The 7,826-nt window shown below is 50.3% G+C and overlaps 1 annotated feature.

The window, feature by feature from the left end:
* Nucleotides 319–890: an enhancer, noted in NCBI's record as "H3K4me1 hESC enhancer chr16:9242515-9243086 (GRCh37/hg19 assembly coordinates)". NCBI's record gives its function as "activates a minimal SCP1, AML or CMV promoter by ChIP-STARR-seq in primed H9 embryonic stem cells {active_cell/tissue: H9 hESC(primed)}" and the evidence as "EXISTENCE:reporter gene assay evidence [ECO:0000049][PMID:30033119]".

The raw sequence follows: 7,826 nt of genomic DNA, 5'->3' as shown, positions 1-7,826 counted from the left end.
CCTGGGCCACCTCAGGCCTCTGCAGAGAGACCCCACCAGCAAGAAGGCCCTCACCGTATGTGGCTCCCTGATCTTGGACTTCCCAGCCTCCAGAACTGCAAGAAATAAAATGCATTTCTTATAAATAACCCAGTTTCAGGGATTCTGTTATAAGCAACTTAAAATGGACTAAGATCCATTTCCATTCTGCCATTCTGCCGCCTTCAACACACACTGTGGGCGCCCCCCCACCACCATCCCGAAAGAAGGGCTTGACATCTGAGACCTTCAGGGCTGAGGGACATCAGAGCAGCCACTTCACAGCTCACTTGGGGAAGGCAGGCAGGGCCACACGTGGCAATTCAGGGAGAGGGAGGTGAGCACGCTGCGGAGAGGCGTCTGCAGGGAGGGAGTGTTGTGTGCGGTGTCCGGGATAGCGAGTCTGCCCACACGTGGGACAGAGGGACGAGGGTTTCTAGGGCAGCACTGCTCGCCTTGAAGGGTAGCAGCATACACCACCCCAAAATATGCCACGTAGGCATAAGGATTATTTTAAGCTCATTATTATTTAAGGCAATTGCCTTATTATTTTAGGCAATCGAGAAGAAGCAGATACCAGAAAAGCTCCCTGCTGTCCCTCTATTTACCTAAAAGCAGGACATACATTTGTCAAGGTGTCCCTTCCCCCTCTCTACCAGGAAGGACAGGAGCTAATCCCTGGAACAAGTCTAGCCCCTCATCAGCCTGGAGGTATCTACACAGCAAACCTGAGTAATAAGCCCCTCCCACCATTACTTTCCCCAATATAGCTGTGTTTCCACAATTCGCCGCCCCAGAAACTCCAAAGTCACTTTCCTTTCTCTTGTCACTTCTCTACAAAGTATTGTTCTTTTGTGAAAAGGCTACAGAACAGGGGTCCCCATACCAGTTCCTGGCCCTTTAGGAACCAGGCCACACAGCAGGAGGTGTCAGCAGGCAGACAAGTGAAGCTGCATCTGTTATTTACAGCTGCTCCCCATCATTTGCATTATTGCCTGAGCTCCGCCTCCTGTCAGATCAGCGGCCAGATCAGTGGCCCCATTAGATCGTCATAGCTCGAACCCTATTGTGAACTACACATGCGAGGGATCTAGGTGGTGCAGTCTTCATGAGAATCTTTTTTTTTTTTTTTTTTTTGACGGAGTCTTGATCTGTCGCCCAGAATGGTCTCGATCTCCTGACCTCATGATCCGCCCACCTCGGCCTCCGAAAGTGCTGGGATTACAGGAGGCGTGAGCCACCGCGCCTGGTCGAGAATCTTTTTTTTTTTTTTTCTTTGACACAGAGTCTTGCTCTGTCGCCCAGGCTGGAGTGCAGTGGTGCCATCTCAGCTCTGCAACCTCCACCTCCCGGGTTCAAGTCATTCTCCTGCCTCAGCCATCCAAGTAGCTGGGAATACAGGCATGCGCCACCACAACCGGCTACTTTTTGTATTTTTAGTAGAGACAGGGTGGTCACCATGTTAGCCAGGCTGGTCTCGAACTCCTGACCTCAAATGATCCGCCCGCCTTGGCTTCCCAAAGTGCTGAGTTACAGGCGTGAGCCACCTCACCTGGCCACTCCTTATGAGAACCGAATCCCTGATGATCTGTCAACCGTCTCCCATCATCCCCAGATGGGACCATCTAGTTGCAGGAAAACAAGCTCAGGGCTCCCACTGATTCTACATCATGGTGAGTTGTATAATTATTGCATTATATATTACAATGTAATAATAATAGAAATAATATGCACAATAAATGTTACATGCTTGCATCATCCCATAACCATCCCCCACTCTGCCCCGTCCGTGGAAAAATTGTCTTCCACAAAACCAGTTCCTGGTGCCAAAAAGGTTGGGAAACACTGCTCTAGAAGCCCAAGTTCTAACCACTCCCATGGCTGAGTGCTCTCGAGTGGAAATTTGATGCCCGTGTCCATGAATTTGTTTTTCTCTTACTCACCAGTCTTTTGTTCATCTAATTCACAGGGCTCTAGCCCGAGAATTCAGGATTGAGAACAATGATGTTCTCCTTCTTTTTTTTTTTTTTTTTTTTTTGAGACAGAGTCTCGCTCTGTTGCCCAGGCTGGAGTGCAGTGGTGTGATCTCGGCTCACTGCAAGCTCTGCCTCCTGGGTTCACGCCATTCTCCTGCCTCAGCCTCCCAAGTAGCTGGGACTCCAGGCACCCGCCACCACGCTCAGCTAATTTTTTGTATTTTTAGTAGACACGGGGTTTCACCATATTAGCCAGGATGGTCTCCATCTCCTGACCTTGTGATCTGCCTGCCTCGGCCTCCCAAAGTGCTGGGATTACAGGCGTGAGCCACCACGCCCGGCCAATGATGTTCTCCTGCTACAGCCTAATAGCTTAGAATTTATATGTGATTGGTCCCAAATAACTGAGTAGGGTACAGGCCAGAGCCCAAGCCATAAAAACTCAGGAGACCCTCGGCCCTTATGGAATGGACATTCGCAAAGGCAGGGTCCTGAGAGCGACAGGCAGGCAGCCCATGCAGAGTGGACAGTCACCTACTGAGGCACATTTTGGAATCCTGGACATGGGACACACAACACTATCACTTGAATGTTTTCAAAGCCCAAAACAATGGCCTCAAATGGATCACCAGAGGCTGGAGGTGAGCCCAGGAAGCTCCAGATGGTTTTTGTTGGTTTTCTCAGACAGAGGCTCGCTCTGTCGCTCAGGCTGGAGTGCAGTGGCGCAATCACAGCTCACTGCAGCCTCGATGCCCCCACCTCAGCCTCCCAAGTGCTGGGACCACAGGCAGGCGCCATCATGCCCCGCCAGTTTTTACATTTTTCATAGAGATGGGGTTTCTCCTCGTTGCCCAGGCTGGTCTCAAACTCTGGGCTCAAGCAATGTGCCTTCGTCTGCTTCCAAGGGTGCTGGGATTACAGATGTGAACCATCATGCCTGGTCTTGTAGCTCCAGTTTTAACCAGGCCCGGATCACTGTGCATGCTCCAGGGCCCACAACGGGAGCACTTAGCAGAAAGCTCTTTCTGGTCCCTCTCTTCATTCCCACTCTTTGCCAGATCAGAGTTCCATCCCCCAGATTGGCCTGGAGGAGCTGAGGAGGCTGCCCCGAATCAGAGAAAGGTGGGGTGATGCAGTGTGGCCTTGAGTTCCCAGCCTCGAGGACAGTTCAGTCCCCAGTTACTGGCTTATGATCACCAGGGACAAAGCTAACGGGAGATGCAGAAGAGAACAGACTCCTTCTCAGCTGGGAGCGACTGTGCCTCCCAGGGCTCCCTCAGCAATGTCTAGAGACACTTGGGAGAGGGGCTCACAACTTGGAGGTGGAAGGGGTGCTCCTGGCATCTAGTGAGTGGAGGCCAGGGAAGCCGCTGAACATCTACAGTGCACAGGATAGCTCCCCACACACAACAAAGCCCCCAAATGTCAACACTGCTGAAGTTGACACTGAAATAGACAGAGATCAGAAACAGAAAATCTCTCTCTCTCTCTCTCTCCCTGTCTCTCTCTCTCTCTCTCTCTCTCTCTCACACACACACACACACACACACACACACAGAGAGAGAGAGAGAGAGAGAGAGAGAGAGGAACTGGCATCTGGTGAGGCTAATAGAAGGGAAAACTCGACTTGGGGAACAGGAAGGGAGAGAGGGGAGGAGAAAAGAAAAGAACTGGTCCCGGGGCCCCATCTGATCCAAGTTCCAAATTCAATAGACTAACATTTTAAAGATTTGAATAACAATAAAAATGCCTGTGCTTCAAAAGAATATATTATCTGTATCCATCCCAAAGGCTGGCAGCTCTTCCTGGAGCGCTGCAGGAAAAGGAAAATGAACCCAGTTCTGCTGCCAGCGGGGACAGGAGGAGAAGAGACCCAGACTCAAAGGACATCAATTACTCCTAGGGGGAAAAAAAAAACCCTAAAAGTCATTTCTAATAAATAAGCCACGAGATGTTGAAAGGGTGTATTTGTTCTGCTTCAGAGCATCAGTTTCTCATCACGAAGTACACCCTGGTTTTGAGACAGGATAGTTCCCTTGACCCCCTTCATAGGAAGGAACTGAAGTGACTCGTTTCACTCAGCCTGAAGTGATGGCCTAAGTGTTAACAGCTCAGCAAAGGGTCAGGGTGACAGCCTCCTGCACCTGCCCTTTTTGACACCCGAGTTCTTGTTCGGCATCCAGGAAGAATCAGGTCACATGAACTGTTTGAAGGGTAGTGTATGTGGAAGACTTTATTGGACAATAAAAGTGGCTCTGAGCGGGATGGGGAATTGGAAAGGGGATGGTATGGGAAGAAGGTGATCCTTCCCAGAAGCTGCACCGCCTGAAGTTAGCCACATCTATCCACAGTCTCCGACGCTCAGCCGCATGGATCCCCGAGCCTCAGCAGCTTGTATCCCCAACGCTCAGCCGCATGGATCCCTGAGGCTCAGCAGCCCACATCCCCAACCACTTGCATCAGCCGCTCCTGTTGCTCTACCAGCTGAAGTCTTTTTATGGGCACAGGATAGGGGTGTGGCAGGCCAAAAAGGCAATCATTTGGGTGAAAAATAGGGTCAGCTGTTTTCACTTAGGGCTGAGGTTCCAGGCTTGAGAGTGGGGCTTAGCTGGGGCCCCAGCCATTCTGTATCAATATGACCCATGGACTCCCCAGAAAGCCCATCTGCAAGCTCCCAACTGCCCCCAAATGCAAGGCTGAGTTCTTGGAGCCCTGAACTGTCCCTAACACCCAGCACAGTGCCTGGGACAAAACTGGCACCCAACAAACATGAGTGGATGGTTTTAACATTTTTTTTTTTTGGAACGAAGTTTCACTCTTGTTGCCCAGGCTGGAGCGCAATGGTGCAATCTCGGCTCACTGCAACCTCTGCCTCCCAGGTTCAAGCAATTCTCCTGCCTCAGCCTCCTGAATAGCTGAGATTACAGGCGCCCACCACCACACCCGGTTAATTTTTGTATATTTAGTAGAGACAGGGTTTCACCATGTTCACCAGGCTGGTCTTGAACTTCTGACCTCAGGTGATCCACCCGCCTCAGCCTCCCAAAGTGCTGGGATTACAGGCCTGAGCCACCACGCCCAGCGAGTGGATGGTTTTCAACAGCTAAACTTGACCTCGCCCAGCCAAGGTCCTTCCGGCAAACTCTATCCCTCACTCCGGCAAACTCTATCCCTCACTCCGCTCTTGCCATACCGCCTTCCATCCTCACCCTCAAACCATCAGCACATTCCTGCCCTGGGGCATTTGCACTTTCTGTGCCCACACCTCACAACTTCCTCACTCCCTCGCCCCCTTCAGGGCTTTGCAGAAGTGTCCTTTTATAAAATTACCACTTGCTGTTTCCCATTCTGCCTCTGAGGGACTGAATTTCCAACCCCCCATGGGATGGTATAAGGAGATGGGGACTTTGGGGGGTAACTAGGTTTAGAAGAGGCCATAAGGGGCTTGGCCTAGTGGCTCACACCTGTAATCCCAGCACTTTGGGAGGCCAAAACAGGAGGATCACTTGGGCCCAGTAGTTCAAGACCAGCCTGGGTAACACAGGGAGATCCTGTCTCAAATCAAAATAATTAAATTTTTAAAAAATAAAAATAAGATAGAACAGGGCATGAAGGTGGGGCCCCCGTGATGGCCTTAGTGCTCTTCTAAGAAGAGACACCAGAGTGGCCAGGTGCAGTGGCTCGTCAGGAGTTCAAGACCAGCCTGACCAACATGGTGAAACCCCGTCTCTACTAAAAATACAAAAATTAGCCAGGCATGGTGGCGCACACCTGTAATCCAAGCTACTTAGGAGGCTGAGGCAGGAGAATCGCTTGAACTAGGGAGGTGGAGGTTGCAGTGAGCCAAGATCACACCACTGCACTCCAGCTTGGGCAACAGAGCGAGACTCTCTCAAAAAAAAAAAAAAAAGAAGAGACACCAGAGAACTTGCTCCCTCTCCTAGCCATGTGAGGACACAGCATGAGGGCAGCCATCTGCAAGCCAGGAAGAGGGTCTTCACTAGAACCTGACCATGCTGGCACCCTGATCTCAGACTTCTGGCCTCCAGAACTGTGAGAAAATTAATGTCCATTGTTTAAGCCACCCAACTTATGCTGTGTGTGTGTGTGTGTGTGTGTGTGTGTGTGTATGGAGAGAGAGAGGGAGAGAGAGAGAGAGAGGCAAGGTCTCACTTTATTACCCAGGCTGGAGTGTGGTGGCACAATCATATCCCACTGCAGCCTCAACCTCCTGGGCTCAAGCAATCCTCCCACATCAAACTCCCAAGTAACTGGAACTACAGGCACGTGCCACCCACCATGCCTGGCTAATTTTTTTTTTTTTTTTTGGTAGAAAGTGTCTCACTATGTTGCCTAGGCTGTAAACTGAGTATCTTCAACTGCTATCTAAGATTCACCTCTTCCCCATTCTCTGCTTTTTCCCTATAGCACCTACATTCTTCCAATTTGCTAAATGATTCCCTAATTTTTTAATGTTTATCTCTAGACAGGCTCCTGATTCATGAAAGACAGAAACAAATATTTGCTGGATAAATGAATGAATGAATAAGTGGTCTCTTTTTCTGAGAGAGATATGGGGAATCTCACTAAGTTGCCCATGCTGAACTTGAATTTCTGGGCTCAAGCAATCCTCCCACCTCAGCCTCCTGAGTAGCTTGGACTACAAGTGTGCACCACTGTGCCTTGCTCGAATGAATGATCTTTATGTCTCATGGTGACTCTATGATTAGTAATATCATTCACTCTATTTAAAGAGGGGTAAACTGGACTGGGTATGGTAGCCCATGCCTTAATCCCAGCACTTTGGGAGGCCACAGTGGGCGGATCACCTATGGTCAGGAGTTCGAGACCAGCCTGGTCAACATAGTAAAACCCCATCTCTACTAAAAATACAAAAATTAGATGGGCGTGGTGGCATGCGCCTGTAGTCCCAGCTTCTTGGGAGGCTGAGGCAGGATAATCGCTTGAACCTGGGAGGCAGAAGTTGCAGTGAGCCAAGATCACACCACTGCACTCCAGCCTGGGTGACAGAGCAAGACTTCCTTTCAAAAAGTAAAAAGATGGAGAAACTGAGGCTCAGACACCTGAAGCAAATTGCCCAGGATCACACATCCAAGAAGTGGGGAAGCCCGGATTCTTACTTGGGGGTGCCTGGCTGCAAACTCCAAGCTCCCCCATGCCCACATCTAGGCGGGACTGCAGGACAAGCATCACCAGGGTGCAGTTTAGAGGAATGGCCTTGAAATGAGTGGCAAATCCTGCTCAGCCCCCAGACCCAAGAAGACCTTGGGCATGTTCCTTGTCCTCAGCCCGCTCACCTGGAAAGGGCACCTCCTGGATTTATCCAAAGATGCTTTCCTGCACTGAACATCTCGGAAGATTTGTGTACGATTGAACCATCACCAAGTGCCAAGCACAGCACTAAACACCCTAAATACATTCCCTCTCCTAATCCTCATGAGGCGGGTACCATTCATAGCAGTTTCACAGATGAGGAAACCGAGGCACCGAGCAGTCACATGACTTGCTCTAGGTCACACGTCTAGTGGGTTCCAAAGCCACATTCCAGCAGGTGGCCCGGAGGCCCTCCCTCTCAACCTCATAGCTGTGCAGCCTCCAGGCAAAGCCTTTTCCCAAAGTCCTGCTCAGCCACCAGGTCCAGAGGACCTTGGACGGGTTCCTTGTTCTCAGCCTGCTCTCCCAGAAAGGGTACTGTTTGGATTCACTCAAAGAGCCTTTCCCGCACTCAACATTGCGTAAAATTCATGAGCAATTAACTGGTGGCTCCCCTTCCATGTTAAGAAATACTAAACTCAAGCTGTTAAGGAGACA

The sequence above is a fragment of the Homo sapiens genome, chromosome 16 (assembly GCF_000001405.40).
Source record: "Homo sapiens chromosome 16, GRCh38.p14 Primary Assembly".
In the NCBI taxonomy this organism is placed as follows: domain Eukaryota; kingdom Metazoa; phylum Chordata; class Mammalia; order Primates; family Hominidae; genus Homo; species Homo sapiens.
This window is presented reverse-complemented; position numbering and strand designations above follow the sequence as displayed.